The sequence below is a fragment of the Homo sapiens genome, chromosome 11, assembly GCF_000001405.40.
Source record: "Homo sapiens chromosome 11, GRCh38.p14 Primary Assembly".
In the NCBI taxonomy this organism is placed as follows: Eukaryota; Metazoa; Chordata; class Mammalia; order Primates; family Hominidae; genus Homo; species Homo sapiens.
In genome coordinates, this window is record NC_000011.10 from 95,149,450 (window position 1) to 95,164,827 (window position 15,378).

At 47.1% G+C, this 15,378-nt stretch overlaps 1 long non-coding RNA gene across 1 annotated transcript, besides 4 other annotated features; it reads left to right on the forward strand.

Moving 5' to 3' along the window:
• Window positions 876-1,417: an enhancer, noted in NCBI's record as "H3K4me1 hESC enhancer chr11:94883489-94884030 (GRCh37/hg19 assembly coordinates)". NCBI's record gives its function as "activates a minimal SCP1, AML or CMV promoter by ChIP-STARR-seq in naive H9 embryonic stem cells {active_cell/tissue: H9 hESC(naive)}" and the evidence as "EXISTENCE:reporter gene assay evidence [ECO:0000049][PMID:30033119]".
• LNCRNA-IUR (lncRNA imatinib upregulated) lies at window positions 1,090-9,699 on the forward strand. The gene is made up of 3 exons (NR_110303.1): window positions 1,090-2,299; window positions 8,179-8,354; window positions 9,160-9,699. It is a non-coding gene; the product is annotated as a lncRNA imatinib upregulated (long non-coding RNA).
• Window positions 1,418-1,959: an enhancer, noted in NCBI's record as "H3K4me1 hESC enhancer chr11:94884031-94884572 (GRCh37/hg19 assembly coordinates)". NCBI's record gives its function as "activates a minimal SCP1, AML or CMV promoter by ChIP-STARR-seq in naive H9 embryonic stem cells {active_cell/tissue: H9 hESC(naive)}" and the evidence as "EXISTENCE:reporter gene assay evidence [ECO:0000049][PMID:30033119]".
• Window positions 1,560-1,689: an enhancer, noted in NCBI's record as "active region_5415". NCBI's record gives its function as "activates an Ori minimal core promoter by ATAC-STARR-seq in GM12878 lymphoblastoid cells {active_cell/tissue: GM12878}" and the evidence as "EXISTENCE:reporter gene assay evidence [ECO:0000049][PMID:35858748]".
• Window positions 2,210-2,319: a silencer, noted in NCBI's record as "silent region_3847". NCBI's record gives its function as "represses an Ori minimal core promoter by ATAC-STARR-seq in GM12878 lymphoblastoid cells {active_cell/tissue: GM12878}" and the evidence as "EXISTENCE:reporter gene assay evidence [ECO:0000049][PMID:35858748]".
• Window positions 9,700-15,378: the final 5,679 nt, after the last annotated feature.

Sequence of the window (15,378 nt, forward strand, 5' to 3'; positions counted from 1 at the left end):
ATGTATATATGTATGTATGTATGTATGTGTATGTGTGTATGTATGTGTGTATGTATGTGTGTGTATGTATGTATGTATGTATGTATATGTATGTGTGTATGTGTGTGTGTGTATGTATGTATGTATGTGTGTATGTATGTATGTGTAATTTCTCTATGTCAGACACTGCTGGGTTTGTGCTCCCCTCTATAATCTACTGATTGTGGGACTTCACACGAGGTACAAAACATAAGTGACCTAATAAGCCCTCTAGACAGGGCTTCAGGGAGGAGCCAAGGCTGGCACATAGTCAGAGGGCAGGAAAAGTTCCACTCCCTCCGTGTGATTAGGAGGGCTGCTTTGTTTTCTTCCCAGGCAGAGACCTCAAAGAAAAGTGTGACTTGTGGCAATCATTGGAATGCTCTAACGGGAGGGAGCCCTAAGCTAAGGGGAGGGGCTGTATCAGCCCCGGGAGGGCGAGGGACAAAGGGGCATTGTTTCCCTGGAGGGCAGGCTGGGGCAAGGCTGACTCCACTGCCGGCCTGGGCGTGGGCAGGTTTGCTCCCGGGAGGAGAAGGCCTCCATCCTGGCCCACAATAGCCAACCCAAAACAGTTCTGGCAAAATTAAAAGACGCAGGAAAATGCCAGCGACCGTTTATTTTCTCCTAGGGTAGATGGGGGAGAAAGCAGCTCCTTTTTCTGGGCTGAATGGAGTCTCAGGGAGGGGGCTAGGTGACAGCATCGCCCTTTCCTCTCCGGCTATTGCGCACCTTCTGGAGCCTCGCTCAGCCTGCTCCCTCCGGCGTAATACGCCAATGCTGCTACCCACAACGCACAGACCAGAAACCAGGATAGACAGAAGCCTAGAATGGCCTGGCATCGAGCAGGCCCAGCGCAAACGCAAGGTCTCTTCCTCTCCTTTCGGTGAACCCCACGCCCAGTCCCGAGAGAGAGAGCGGATGCTCATTTCCGAAAGCTGGCAATCCTGCAGTGGCCACTGGAAAAATACATATACGTGTGTGTGTGTGTGTGTGTGTGTGTGTGTGTGTGTGTGCGCGCGCGCGCACACAGTGCATATCGTGCCCATCTACAAGGAAACCTGGAGGCTCCACAAACAACTTTGAGTCCCGGGAGGGCGGAGGTGGAGAGAGATTCTCCGCTTGGATAAGGGCGGCTGGATAGCCGAGTACTCTCTTTTGGGGCTGTTGGCCGTCTCCGGAGTCTCGGGAGCGCCTTGATGTCCCTTCCCAGGGCTCGGGTTCCTTTGAGAGAATCAAGAGGAAGGTGTTTTTCACTAGGACTCGCGGTGGGCCCCACCTGCCTACCGTGGCCGGCCGGGAGCTATTACAGCAGGGTCTGCCCGTCCGACGACGGCGGCTCCAATCTGGGGTCCCGCCGGCGCCGACCCCTCAGCTCTCTCCCGATACCTGCTGGCCTCTCTCATCTTTGGTGGCACTCGCCGCCACGGGGACGGTGAGATCAAAGAGGTAGACCTAGGCCAGGAGGGACTGCCAGGGCTCCTTCCCGCGGGCCAGCCTCTCGTCCTTCCTCCCGGGACGGGGCTCTTTCCCTTTCTCCGGATGCGGGCCTTTGAGAGTCAGCGACGCCTTAGACTCCTCCCAGAAAAATGCACCCTCATCTACCCAATTCTGCCCTACCCTTTGGAGCTCCTGGACCCTCTAACCGCTCGGTGGGGTCAGAGCCCACCCCCGGAAGGGCCGCTGGTCGGGGACTGGTTCGCCCTCTCCTGGCCTCCTCGGACCAGTGCGCGGGGAGGATCCCGCTAACGCCGGGCGCCTGCAGACCTTGAGCGGCCTCGCCCTGGTGACCTCCCCGGGAAAGGCTGGGCGGTGCTTCCACAATGAGGGCCACCTGTTAATTTGCACGAGAAAGTGCTGCCGAGGGCCCACACGTGCGAATCCACCTGTGGAGTGCGTCCCCTCTCTGGGGCCAAGGCCTAGGGGAGGCCGAAGCGGAGAAGTTGCCTGAAGACTGGGAAGTAAGAGTAGGGGCGTCGGAGGAATCGAAGTTGCAGTGACATCAGGCTCGGACAGCCGGCGGACTCCTCGCAAGGTGATCGGATACTTCCGAGAGCCCCACAGTCCTCCTGGGCCTTTGCCCTCGCGTCTGGGATGCGCTCGGGCGCCCCCAGTCTGCGATGCGTTCGTACCTCCAGTAGGGTGACGTTTTCGCCGGGCCCCTCTGCGAACAGTCTCCGCCCTCCTCCACTGTGAGATATTTCACAGTTTCACCCGCAGAGGGCAACCTTATTCCAAGTTCCCGAGCGCCCTAGGCCTCTTTCTCCTCCCTGCCTAACTGGTGAGGTGGGACTTCAATGCCTTTTAGGTTTACAGTCTTTTCCTCCCCACGGCTTCTCTTTCCTCCCCGTCTCAGGCACTGGGCATTTCCAGTCGATCCAGCAGGTCTGGCTTCTCTCACATATGCAGTAAGGGTTAGGGGAGAAGGTCCCAGCTCCTCTTGTCTCTAGCAGAGTGTAAACTGGCTCTGCTGAGGAGGTGGCTGTGCTTTTATTCCTTCTCCTGAGAACTGTTTATATATTAAGGAGCTTCACAGCCTCCAACATAAGGAAAGCAGGTAGGAACTGATCATATAACGCTTTGTAAATGTTTTAGACTTTGGCTTTAATGGGAAAGAAATGGGGAGCCATTCGTGGGTTTTTGAGCAGCAGGTGGACATTGCTTTTCATAATGACCACGCCAGCTGCTGTTTGGAGAATAGACTGTAGGGGTCACTGCGCAAATTGGAGGCCGCGATCCAGGTGAGAACCAGGTGAAACAGAGCTCGGGCCATGGAGTGGCGCTGGAGGTAAGGAGAAACACTCAGACTCTGGGTATGTTTTTTGAAAGTAGGATAAAAGGCCGGGCGCGGTGGCTCACGCCTGTAATCCCAGCACTTTGGGAGGCCAAGGTGAGCGGATCAAGAGGTCAGGAGATCGAGACCATCCTGGCTAACACGGTGAAACCCCGTCTCTACTAAAAAAAAAAAAAAAAAAAAATTAGCAGGGAGTGGTGGCAGGTGCCCGTAGTCCCAGCTACTCGGGAGGCTGTGGCAGGAGAATGGTGTGAACCTGGGAGGCAGAGCTTGCAGTGAGCCGAGATGGCGCCACGGCACTCCAGCCTGGGCGACAGAGCGAGACTCTGTCTCAGTCAATCAATCAATCAATAAAAATACAAAACATTAGCTGGGTGTGATGGTGTGCACCCTTAATCCCACCTACTCGGGAGGCTGAGGCAAGAGAATAGCGTGAACCCAGGAGGCAGAGGTTTCAGTGAGCCGAGATTGCGCCATTGCACTCCAACCGGGGCGAAGATTTACATATATATAAGATTTTCTGTCTGATTGTTTTTTTGGGTATGAGAAAAAGACAGGAATCAGGGATGACTCCAAGCAGCTGGAAAAACGGAGATGCTGCTGGCTGAGATTGGAAGATGCTGGGGTAGAGGGATAAGACAGCTTAATGTTATATATTTTAGGTTTGAGGTGTTCATTAGAAAAACAAGTGGAGAGATTGATTGGGCAGACACACAGGTCTGGAGAGGGCTGGGCTGGAGATAGAAATATGGGTTGCCATGATACAGGCATGGGACTGAAAGCCCCATCAGTCCCTTGGAGAGATCATCAGAGAGTGAGTAGAGACATAGCAGGGCGAAGCCCTGAGCCCCGGTTCCCCCAGCATGTACCTGCAGTCTGTTTCCTCTTCTCAACTACAATTCCCATGGTCTTGTCTTGTTCACAGAACCTGCTCAAGGAGCATCTATTAAATGAAGGAACCCAACTTTCATCACATGTAAAATAAACATCATTATAATCCTACCTCATAAGGTTGTTGTCAGAAAAAGTTAAACGTCGTAATGAAAGTGAAACTGCGTTATGATTGGTAGATGCCTGCTATATTTTAAAATGTAGGCTTCATTATCTCATTCTGTACAGCTTGTATTACTTGATTGTATCTTCACAGTTTCTGATGCATGCAAGGCAGACACTCTCGTTCTCACTTTATTGACGAGGAAAGTAGGATTGGTGAGACAAAATAAGTCCCTGAAGCTGCATATCTAATGGTAACACCAGTGGCTGACCTGTTTGAGCACATCTGCGGCAGGCACTGTGTTAATGATTTTGCATGTGTTATCTGGCAACAACACAGCGAGGTGGGGGTTATTATCTTCACTTGCACATGAGGAAACTGAAGCATAGAGAGGGTGGTTAACTTAGCCAAGGTCCCATAGTGAGTGGTTGGAAGAGTCTGGGCCATGAAGCAGACCTGCCCATCCTGATTCAATGTTCTTTTTGCAGCCTGATAGCTCCTCTTCTTCATCCCCCTACTAGACTCCTGCCAGGGCCAAGCCTCACCACTCCTTCCCTTGACATTGGCAACATTCCTCTCTCCTTAACGTTTCTCTCCTACCAAGCCTGCTTGCTGCAGGATACAAGAGTTCAGTCACTCCTTGGGAACAACCTGCAGGTCAAAACATTTTGGCTTATTGCTTCCCCTTTCTGGAAAGTCCTTTCCCTTCCTCTCTGCCTTATGAACTCCTATGTGTTCTTCCAAACCCTGGTGAACTCCTATGTGGTTTTCCAAGTCCAATTAATATGTCACCTCTGTTGTGAAGCTTTCCCTGCTTGCACCAGACAAGAGGCATGACTTAGATCATGTGACACTTTGTTTATAGGTCTATCAAAACAAACTGACAATTTCCTGTGGGTTTGACTGATGCCCCTGTAATATTGTGATTTTTCTCTCAGGTTCTTATATTTTCATGTCTTTTTATCCAACATGCTGTTTGCTTCGTGAATACATAAATGAATGACCCATTTACAATCACTATCAAAGCAAATTTATGGATATCAAATATTCTTCTAGAGATGAGGAAATAGGCTAAAAGGAGTGATTTGCCTAAAGTCACTCAACTGATTAAATACTGGAGCTTTGCTGGGTATGATTATGCGTGCCTATAATCCCAGCTACTCAGGAAGCTAAGGTGGGGGCAGAGGGGGTGGGTGGCAATGACCGCTTGAGCTCAACAGTTTGAAGCCAGTCTGGCTAGCATAGTGAGACTCTGCCTCAAATAAATAAACATAAATAAATAACATAAATATTGCAGCATGAACTCAAGAGAGGTGAGGAGATTTTGTCTGGTGAAACTCAAGATTTCACATGCCTATTGCTTCCCTCTCTGGCATCTAGGGTCCTGGAACCCTCCTCCAAATGCTCCTGCAGGTGGCAACAGAGGCCAAGGAAAGGTGAAGCATTCTGGCAGAAGTTCTGGAGACAGATGAGAAGCTGAGCTCCCTGAGGGCAGGGGCAAGGTGACTTGAAGAAAGCCAGGCCAGAGGGAGCATTTTATGCATCCATCATTTGTAATCCAGAAAGAAAAGGTTTAGACAATTTTAGTGTAACCATTAGTCATAAAATTGACACTGAAGAAAGGAAAAAGCAATTGAAATAAAAGGACAGTAAATAACAAACTATCTTACAGGAAAAGCTACACCATGTGCCCCAAGACACCGAGCTAGAAAGTAGCAGGGGTAGTCAGTATCAGGGCCCATCGCCTCATGTTATCTGCACAGGGGGTCTCTGTCTGATGTTTGGGCACAGAGAAACAAAGTCCAGGTATAGTGCATTAGACAGGACCCAGAGGGTGTTTATGCGTGGACTGATGGCCACCTCGAGGGTCAGAGCTTCTGGCTTATTGTGTCTCCAACTCTGTCCTAATACACATTTTTACCAATGGCTTGCTGGAAAAACAGAGGAAAGGCCCGTGAATTTGCCAAGGAGAGGAAGCTCTGAGTGTTCGCGAGTGCCCATGTGGAGAACAGGGAATTGTACAAGTTCGAGCTGTGTGGGCCAATAGGGAAATGGAACAAAGGGACATTTTACCTTTGTGTTCAAAATAATTAGACAAGGACAGCATGGAAGAGACACGGCTTTAGTAATAGTGTGTGTTGAAAAGAATGGGGCTGGGACATTTATTACAACAACCGACATTTGTGCAGCATTTATGAGGCATTTTCATTACTCCTTATGACACATTAGAAGTGGTAATGGGGAAACCAAGGCTGGGAGTATCTTGTGTAATTAAGCAGCAGAGCTGTAGTGTGAATTGTGTCTCTGTAACCCTGGGGTTACTTCTCTTCTTTTGTTCCCCATCTCTAACCAAGCTGCATGCTCCGCTCGTTCTTTTTTTGTGAATGTCTCTCACCTCCAATGCAGCCATCCATCCTGTTAAAGGAGTGGATTATCCATGTCTTTCTGAGACTATTGTACAACCTCCTCATTTAATCTCATTTCTCTTTCCTCCCATTAATTTTATATATGCCACATGAGCCGGATTACCAGATTTAGCAAAAAGCAAAAACAAAACGCCAAGATACTCAGTTACATTGTTACATTTGAATTTTAAAAATGAATAATTTTTATTATATGGGACATATATTAAAAATTATTTGTTGTTTATCTGAAATTCAAATTTAACTGTGCATTCTGTATTTTATATGGCAACCCTGATAATCATGAAATACCATTTCCATCATTCCAAAAATATCCATTAGTTCCCTGTTACCTGAAGGACAGGGGCCTCAATCTCGAATTTTTACAGGTAGGTAACATAAACATACAAATTAAGTGACTGGGTAAGTGGAGCCTGAAGCTAAATTCAAAATTGAGGAGCAAATGTTCCCTGACCCCAGACATTCCAGTTCAGACTTTAAACATATATAATCAACTCCAATAAAAGCAAAAAAGAAACACACACACACACACACACACACACACTCACACTCACACATCCATAGCCATCAGTGAGTCTGGCTTCTAATCTGAAACCTGGGCTAAACCAAACCACTTGGCCTGGAATTGGAGGCCCCTGATTGGCCTTTCTGCCCTTCACTCTCACCACTCTCCACCATGGGCCCTCCCATCTCTCCTCCACCAGCTCATCATGGATGGCCTCCCTAACCCATAGCCGTCTTCTTACCATGCCAGTCTCACAGGCCACTCAAGTCCACAGTGATCTTTCCCTTTCCATGGTCAATTTTGGCTCCTCTCTGTCCCAGGGACACGTTTAGCGGTCACATCATTTTTCTCTCCAACACCCGAAAGGGAATACAGGAAGTGACTTTGAGAGGCCCTTACCATATGCCAAGTCCCCTAAAAAGATCTTTGCTTATTTTTGTTCCCTCTCTCCTTAGTGAGATGGTGAAGTACTCAAGGGTAACAACCCTGTCTCATACGATTCCAAATGGTATATTGAGCTTTGCTATAACATCCATGCTCAATATATACTTTCTTACTGACAGGTCCAAGAGTGTACAAACTCATGAACTCAATGACCGCAGACTGGAAGTAAAATCACAAACCAGTGCTTCCCCCACCCCCACCCTTCCTTGGTACACCCCTGTCACCTCCCAATTCTGGCTTCAAGCATTTTTCAAGTCTGAGGCTTTAGCCCAAATTTAAGCTTTGGCTTAAATAACGTCTATTTTTTTTTTTTCCAGAGCTGATAAGAACTTACATTTAAAAGATGGTTCTTTTTTTGGTCTCAGTCCTGCTGGGTAGTTGTGCCTTGTTAGAAAATTATCCATAGCACTTTCAAAGTCCTCCTCATGAGCATGTTGAACTGAGCCAGACTTGGAGCTTTGAATGGAATGCCATTTAATCTTGGCAAAGGTCCACCTTTTGTTTCTAAGGAGGGAAAAAGCCTAAGGAACATGGGTGACTTAGGGACCGTTTGCACTTAGACCTGATCTGCTGGGGAAAGGTTCGGAATCCTGGAAATACACAAATTAGACACTGAGCTGGGAAAAAGAAAGAGACAAGCACTGGCCAGGCAACCTTCAGTTTTGCTAACGCCAAAGATTTTAAAAATATCATCCCCTTCTTAGGATTCCTTGGCCTGCCTAGCTATGTTCTGGCTGAGATGTGCTGAGCCGGGCTGGGCTGCCGGCTCCGGGACTGGTTTGTAGCCAGCTGTGCCTTCAAAGAGCTCTCTCTTCAAGACTTCCTCCAACTCTAGATTCCACAACTGCCTCCAGGAGCTGCTGGGCCAGGGAGGGCCCTTCTGGAAGCCTGGTTGCCTTTTGAATTCTGTTTTTACTCTTTTTTTTCTTTATAAACAGATTCTCTTCATTTCAGTGGGAAAAGGTGTCGTGACAGATCCATGTCTCTATTTTACCCTTAGGCCTCAAACTTCTTCATGGGAAAAGATGGCTTCTCTTTTTTAATTGAATGAACTAGAAGAAGTTCATTGTTATTCATCAACTTCAAAGAGACTATATGAGGCCCCTTGGCCAGGACTACAGAGCAGTATTTTTTAATCAGAAATTATAGCCAAAAAGAAGAGACCAGAACACATGGGTGAGTGTTACTGAATTATTGGTTTTCCTTAAATAGTCTAGTTTTGGTGTGTGAGAGGAAGAAAGTTGCAAGTGCTTATGTGCCAGGTACTGTGCTAGGATCTGAGGATGCAGAAATGAAGAAAATGCAATCCCTGGCCCTCCCACCTGTTGGGGGAAGTGGACTTCGCACCCTGTGGATAAGGAGTACACAGTGTAGCACTGTGGTTAGAAGCACCAGCTCTGTCATCACAGGGCTTGGCTTGTTTCCTGGCTCTGCTGTGGGCTGTGTGGCATTGGGCAAGTTACTTAGCTTCTCTGTGCATTATGTTTTGCATCCTAAAAATGGGGTTAGTGATAAAATCTGTGTTATATGGTTCCTGTGGGGATTTAGTGAGTTAAAATAGTTAAAGTACTTAAGCTCAGTGCTTAGCACTTTGAGTGTTTATTACTATCGTTGAGAAGATGTAGAGGAAGTATATGGGCATAGAGAGCAAGGTGCAGCTGACTGCTTAGGTGAGGCAGGGGATGCTTCAAAGAGGAGGTGACATTTGCTTTGCACTCTGAAAGATGAGTGGGAGTTCAGTAGACGAGGGTGGTGTGAGGGAACCCAGGCAGTGGGAAGCGTGGTCGGGGCAGAGAGAAGGTGATGGCTGGAAGCAGTAGCAGAAAGGCCAGTGTGGCTGCAGCCTGGGACTCTCATGTGGCTTGGGGGAAGGGAGTAAAATCACAGGCTGAGTCTGGAAAGGTGAGTTCAGGCTAGACTGAGAAAGGCTTTAAACTCCGTGTCATTAATTCATTCATATAACTCTATTATCCCCATAAAGATGAAGAAGGAAGGCATTAAAGATTATGTAATTTGCTGGGTGTGGTGGCTGACGCCTGTAATCCCAGCACTTTGGGAGGCAGAGGCTGGCGGATCACTTGAGGTCAGGAGTTCGAGACCAGCCTGGACAACATGGCAAAAACCTGTCTTTACTAAAAATACAAAAATTAGCCAGATGTGGTGGTGGGCGCCTGTAATCCCAGCTACTTGGGAGGCTGAGGCATGAGAATCGCTTGAACTCGGGAGGCAGATGTTGCAGTGAGCAGAGATGGCGCCACTGCACTCCTCCCTGGGCGACAAAGCAAGACTCCGTCTCAACATCACTGAACCAGTAGGGGGCAGAGCTGGAAGTTGAGCCTAGGTGTGTCTGACTCCACAGCCTACGCCCCGAACCTTGACTTTGTGCTTTCTCACAATGCCTATGGCTGCTGCTTTAAAACAGCACTTTCCATTTGCCTTGTTAAATGGGATTGTATATGAATTATACTTCACTGTTTATTTCTAGAGAAATAAAAGAATCTAATAAAGGAATCTGACACGGACCTTGGGTGAATAAATATACCCTTAGGCTGGAGTGTATTTCAGATAGCTTGGTTAGGGAACTTGCGTGGTATCCCCAAGGCTCAGGCCCTGAGAAGGCATGGCCACCTGATACCCTGGTTCCTTTAGCACAAAATCCTCATGATAACCTCAGTTCGCATTTCTTTGAAATCTGCTTGGCAGAGCTGTGGGATACCTGAAACTCTCTGGGTCATTTTGCTTTGATCAAGGGCTTTGCTGTTATAGGGGCAGTCTCAGATCAGGTGGTGGAGGTCATCAGGCCTTGGCGAAAAGCCCAAACATCTTCCAATGGGACCAGGCCCTGTGATAGCATCTTTCCAACCCATTAATGGTCAGCTGGGCTTTTTTGTTGTGTGTCCATTCTGAAGTTCCTCACTCCCTTCTTTTCAGAGACACTCACTGCTCAAGGACACTTATTCTTTAGGTTCCAGGCACCTCCTGGGAAGTAACTGGGGAGAGAAGAACAGGGCTACAGTGGGAAAGCAGACCACAGGTGCCAGGCAATTTCCTTTCTCCAAACACTTCCCTGGGGACAGCTGCCACTCATAAGCATCCTAATGCAGATCCACAAAGAACTCTTCCCTGCCCCACAATTCATTTTTTTTTTTTTTAGACAGTCTTGTTCTGTCACCCAGGCTGGAGTACAGTGGTGCAATCTTGGCTCATTGCAACCTCCACCTCCCAGGTTCCAGAGATTCTCCTGCCTCAGCCTCCTGTGTAGCTTGGATTACAGGTATGCACCACCACGCCTGGCTAATTTTTGTATTTTTAGTAGAGACAGGGTTTCACCATGTTGGTCAGGCTGGTCTCAAACTCCTGACCTCAGGTGATCCACCCACCTCGGCCTCCCAAAGTGCTGGGATTACAGGCATGAGCCACTGTGCCCAGCCCACAATTCATTCTTATTCTCTGTCTTTCCCTTTATAATGCTGACTACAATTTGTAGTTTTATAATTTCGTGGTTTTCTTGCTTACTATCCACCTTCTCACTCCCCTGACTGTGAGCTCCATATGGCAGGGGCCACATCCATTTTATTTCCTGTTGTAGCCAGCATTGAGGACCGGGGTGGCAGATGGTCTTTTTTCCTGCAACTCTGGCAGTTCCTTTTCTCTCTCCTTCATCCCCACTAGTGCATTCTCCTCTTCCTGGCCTTTAAGCGTTGGGATCCCTCAAGACTGGCTCTTTGGTTACCTTTATCTCTCGCTTTTTCCTAAACCCTCACCCAGGTATAAAGCTTCAATTAGTCTACCTGACATCTTTGCAGATCTTAAAGGCATCTCAGATTCCCAAGTTATCAAGGCAATACACATGATCTTTTCCCTAGAACTTGGCTCCTTCCCAGTGTTCTGTGAGTAAATGGCTGCATCAGGCAGCAATATGGGCAAGACAGGAACGAAGGAGTCATCCTGACGCCTCCTTATTGTTTACCCTCCCTGCAAGCCAATCACTTAGACTTGTTGATTTTTACCTATTGTTCAAATCCACCTACCGCTCCTCATCTCTGCTGTTCGTACTGTAGCCTTCACTGCCTGCTCTTTTCACCTGACTAGCTTATTAATGAGCCTTCCTACTTCTGTTCTGGTCCCCCTCCATTTGTTATGCTCCAGTCAGAGCATCCTTGAAATGCAAATCTGATCATTTCACTATCATTACCCATCCCCCGCCCCCAACACACACACACACACACACACACACACACACACACACACACACACACACACAATTCTTTGACAGCCTCCATTGCTCTTACAATAAAAGCCAACATCCAGCTAGGTGTGGTGGCTCATGCCTGTAATCCCAGCAATTTGGGAGGCCGAGACCAGCAGATCACTTGAGGTCAGGAGTTTGAGTCCAGTATGGCCAACATGGTGAAACCCCGTCTCTGCTAAAAATACAAAAATTAGCCTGGCGTGGTGGTGTGCACCTGTAGTCCCAGCTACTCGGGAGGCTGAGGCAGGAGAATTGCTTGAATGCAGGAGGGGGAGGTTGCAGTGAGCTGAGATTGCACCACTGCACTCCAGCTTGAATCAACATGGTTAACATGGTGTCAACATGGTGACAGAACAAGACTCCATCTAAAAAAAAAAAAGCCAACATCCTTTGTTTGTGTGGGCTTTAAAGGCTTTGTAGCCCAGACCATACAGTAGGCTGACTTCGGCAATGCACTCTCTGGCTGATCTCTTATGATCCCCCAGTCTCTGGCCTTTGTGTTGGGAGGCACCTCACTCTGGCAAGCCAGTCTCTTGGACAGTGTTCCTTTGAGACAGCTCCAGCCTGGTTACCTTCCAAGGTCTTCTCTTGACCTACAGAGAGCTCACATATCCTTGCCCTGCCAAATACTGGAGGGGCAATTTTTCTTGTGGCTGTCCTCTCTCTTGGGTTTGCATGCCTATATGGGCAGCAAGCTGCCTGAATGCTTTCTTTTAGATTGGAATTGAATGCCAGTCTATATTGTTCCTTAAACTCCACAAGATTTGTACAAATGCCTCAGAATGAACTCCTTGAAGGGAGCCGGAACTCGAAGCATAGCACTTTCTAAACAAACCCTCTCTTTTTGCCTCTTCAACCTCCACTCTTTCATAGCCAGGAGTGGGGTTGAAGTAAGGCTCACAAAACGGGTTTGGGATCACCACTTTTGCAAATCCTTAACGTACCATCATTTCACTTTGCAATGTGGGAACACATTGCCACCTCTTGAATGAATCCTTTTGGGGCCACGGCCAGCACTGAGTAGTTCTATTTACAGAATCCTGTTTTAGAGAGAGAAGATGCTCACTTGATGGAAGGAGTCAGTTAGAATCTACCATTTTCAGACAAGAAGGGGCATGTTCCTTTTGGAAAAGCTGGGTGGGCACAGTCCTGAGCAGTTAGAGGCATCATAACAGCACCAGGAAGCTGAATGTGAGGGCATAAGAGCTAACTTGACTTCTTCGCTGATATGCCTGTTGCCTGAAGTTAGAGTGAAGGTCTTTTGAAACTCCTAACTTGGCCCAACTCCTTTTTACCTCTTACCCTCCCGGTCATTCCCTGTACCCCATCTGGGGGCCCTCCCCAGGGATAGCTCCTGGCCTCAGCCTAGAGAAGCTGCTTCTGTCAGAGATTATAAGAGGCATCCCCGCCCGGGCGCGGTGGCTCACGCCTGTAATCCCAGCACTTTGGGAGGCCGAGGCGGGCGGATCACGAGGTCAGGAGATCAAGACCATCCTGGCTAACACGGTGAAACCCTGTCTCTACTAAAAATACAAAAAAATTAGCCGAGCGTGGTGGCGGGGGCCTGTAGTCCCAGCTACTCAGGAGGCTGAGGCAGGAGAATGGCGTGAACCCGGGGGGCGGAGCTTGCAGTGAACGGACATCGCGCCACTGCACTCCAGCCTGGGCGACAGAGCGAGACTCCGTCTCAAAAAAAAAAAAAAAAAATAGGCATCCCCCAACTCTGGGCCACAGCTGGAGACCTAAGTGCTGCTGCACTCTGGCCAGGTTGGACAGCCGCACTTCTCTTGAACACTACCCAGAATCTCCACTTCAATCAAGTGGTAAGAAGGGTCCTTCTCTCTTGCCCAGGAGTCCCGTGGCTGTCTGGGCCTTGCCCCTCCCTGAGTCGTTAGTCCATTCACAGAGTATTTCTCTCTCATCTCACCACGGCCAGCACTGTACAAATTCATGAAGGAGATGCAATTTGTCTGAAGTGCTTATGACCAAGGGGAGGGGCATTTCATGCACATTGGTGTAAATTGGCACAACCTTTCTGAAAAGCAATTCAGAAATGTGTATCAAGAGTATTAAGGGTGTTTTTTGCCGTTTGAGAAATTCCATTTCAGTAACTTCCATTTCAAAAGCAGTTTCTAACAGGTTTGTCATGGGGCGTTTGTTTTCACCTTGGGAAATCCATCTTTGATGTCGCGTCTTCTGAATTCTATTTGATTTGCTCCTTTAATAACGTCATGAAACTCTGTCAGTTTCCCAGCTATATATGGAACACAGAAAGAGAGTGTAGGCAGTCAAGGTGGATTTAAGGCTGTGTAACTCTGTGAATAGTGTTGTCGAAGAGAGAGGCTGCTCCCAAAAGACATATGGCTTCCAAAAGCAGACTGGTGTGGTGCTGAGTGAATAAACATTGTGTGGGGATCTTGTAAAACGGGAAATTTTATGAGCCCCTCACCTCCCATTCTGATTCAGCAAGTCACGGTGGTTTCCAGGAATGTCTATTTTTAACAAGATTTCCTGTAGATTTTGATGCTCAGATAGAGGTCTGATAATCACAGCTTAGAATGTAATCTACCATAGTCTATTTCATTTTTAAGAAATGCTACTAGATCTTATTTTGATGGAATATTGTATGTCACATGGGATCCATGCATTCAAGAAATATCTGAAATACTAGACAAGCATTCTCACTGGCAAATTATAGGGAGGAGTGTAATTTCAAAAAATATTACATAACCCATATGCCATACTTTCAAGTGCACAAAATGCATATAGACACAGAAAAATCTAGAATGATTTCGGTATGCAAAGTATTCTGCTCACTAGCAAGCACAGGCACTTCATTTCTTTCCTAGGTGTCATGTGACAAATGGGTGCCTGTTTCTATTTCACCTTTCTAGCACTTCTTAGGCCCCAACCCTAAAGATGTGGTCTTAGAAAAAGCTGGATTTTTTTTTTTTTTTTCTCATTTCTGCCTAATTCAGCTGTTGACTTTCCATTCCACCTGCAGGCCAGTTTGGTAAATCAGAGCTGCAATTATTTTTGCTGTTAGGAAGATATCTATTGGGTGGAGTTAATAATACAATTTTGTCCAGTGGTTCTCAAAATGTATCAGGCATTGAAATCACCAGGAACGCTTTTCAAGACTGAATGCACTGGATTCACCTCAGTCCAATTACATCAGCATCTCAAGGTTGGGGTTTGTTCTCAGGTCTTCAGATGGTCATTTATATCATTCAACAAGAAACTTAAGCTGAATTAAGGTAGGGAAGTTCAGTAGAAAAAATGTCAGAAAGACCAGAATTTGAATCTCCACTGTGCCAATTCTAAAAACTGTACCAACTTTCTTACACTAGTAAAGCTTTCTATGACTTAATTTCCTCATCTATAAAATGAAGATATCGTCATTGTAAAATTATTGTGAGGATTTGTTCTTCACAAAGTTGTGAGGATTACATGAAATTGTATACGTGAAAGGACAAAGTACACACATAAACATGAAGTATTATTTTACTTTAAAAAATGGCTCAAAGTTGTTAATAAATTCATGGGGAAACTAGTGTCAAAAGCCTGATTTTGAATTGGGGGAGAACTTGTAGAAGGACTGGGTTGTTAGCTGAGTTTGGCCCAATGTACCCTGTTCTTTGTCTCCCCTGGCGTTACATATTATTGAAAAAAAGATTTTTTTTTTTTTTTGAGAGACAGGGTCTCACTATGTTGCCCAGGCTGGTCTCGAACTCCTAAGTGCAGGTCCTCCTGCCTCGGCCTCTCAAAGTGCTAGGATTACAAGCATGAGCCACCAAACCCAGCCAAAAGATAGACTCTAATCGGCAAGAAGCTGGTTTCCACTGATCTCCCATTACAGCTAGACACATGGCACAAAGGAAGAAATCTTGCCTTTGGTATAAATTTTTACGTAATATGTGAATTTAAGATAAATGAAAAGTCAGGTCC